General features: G+C 52.0%; 1 annotated feature.

The window, feature by feature from the left end:
• Positions 222-723: an enhancer, noted in NCBI's record as "H3K4me1 hESC enhancer chr7:36097479-36097980 (GRCh37/hg19 assembly coordinates)". NCBI's record gives its function as "activates a minimal SCP1, AML or CMV promoter by ChIP-STARR-seq in primed H9 embryonic stem cells {active_cell/tissue: H9 hESC(primed)}" and the evidence as "EXISTENCE:reporter gene assay evidence [ECO:0000049][PMID:30033119]".

A 935-nucleotide genomic window follows, 5' to 3' on the forward strand; every position in this document is an offset into this window, starting at 1 on the left:
TATCTCTTCCTTGTCTTTTTTTTTTTTTTTTTGAGATGGAGTCTTACTCTGTCGTCCAGGCTGGAGTGCAGTGGTGCGATCTCGGTTCACTGCAATGTCCACCTCCTGGGTTCAAGCGATTCTCCTGCCTCAGCCTCCCGAATAGCTGAGACTACAGGTGTGTGCCATCACGCCTGGCTAGTTTTTTGTATTTTTAGTAGAGACGGGGTTTCACCATGTTAGCCAGGATGATCTCGATCTCCTGACCTCATGATCTGCCTGCCTTGGCCTCCCAAAGTGCTGGGATTACAGGCATGAGCCACCACGCCCGGCCCCTTGCCTCCATTTTTACTGTCACACTCCACATCTGATCCTTGGGGGAAATTCTGTTGTTTCTACCTTCAAAGCCTTCAAAGCACATGCAGTATCTAAGCACCGGTCATCACATCCATTGCTACCGGCCAGCCCCAGCCACATTGTCTGTCCCTCATCTGGCCTCCAGTTTCTCACCCTACTGAAGGCAGCAGCCAGAAGGATATAATGAGAAAGTGAAATGATTCTAACCCTCTGCTCAGAGACCTCTAAAGCCTCCACCTTTCACTCAGAGCAAAAGCCACGTTTTCACAATGACTTTTAAGAGCGTTATGATCTCACCCTGTGGCTGCCCCTCTGACATTGAAAGGTGACCTGCTGCTGTCCCTCCCTCACTGTGGGAGGCCACCAGCAGCACAGGCCACCAAGCATTCCAGGGACACGAAGCTCCAGGCCTGTGGGCCGGCTATTCTCTCAGACCGGAGCACGGCAGATGTCTGCAGATGAACTCCCTTCTCTCCTTCAAGTCTGGGGGCAGGTGTCTCTCAGAGTGGCCTGCCCTGGCCTCCTAGTTACAACTGGAGTCTTCGCTCTCCTCCCCCTTCCTGGGACTCCTGTTGTGTCTGCATTTTGTTTTTTATTAG

The sequence above is a fragment of the Homo sapiens genome, chromosome 7 (assembly GCF_000001405.40).
Source record: "Homo sapiens chromosome 7, GRCh38.p14 Primary Assembly".
NCBI classification, from domain to species: domain Eukaryota; kingdom Metazoa; phylum Chordata; class Mammalia; order Primates; family Hominidae; genus Homo; species Homo sapiens.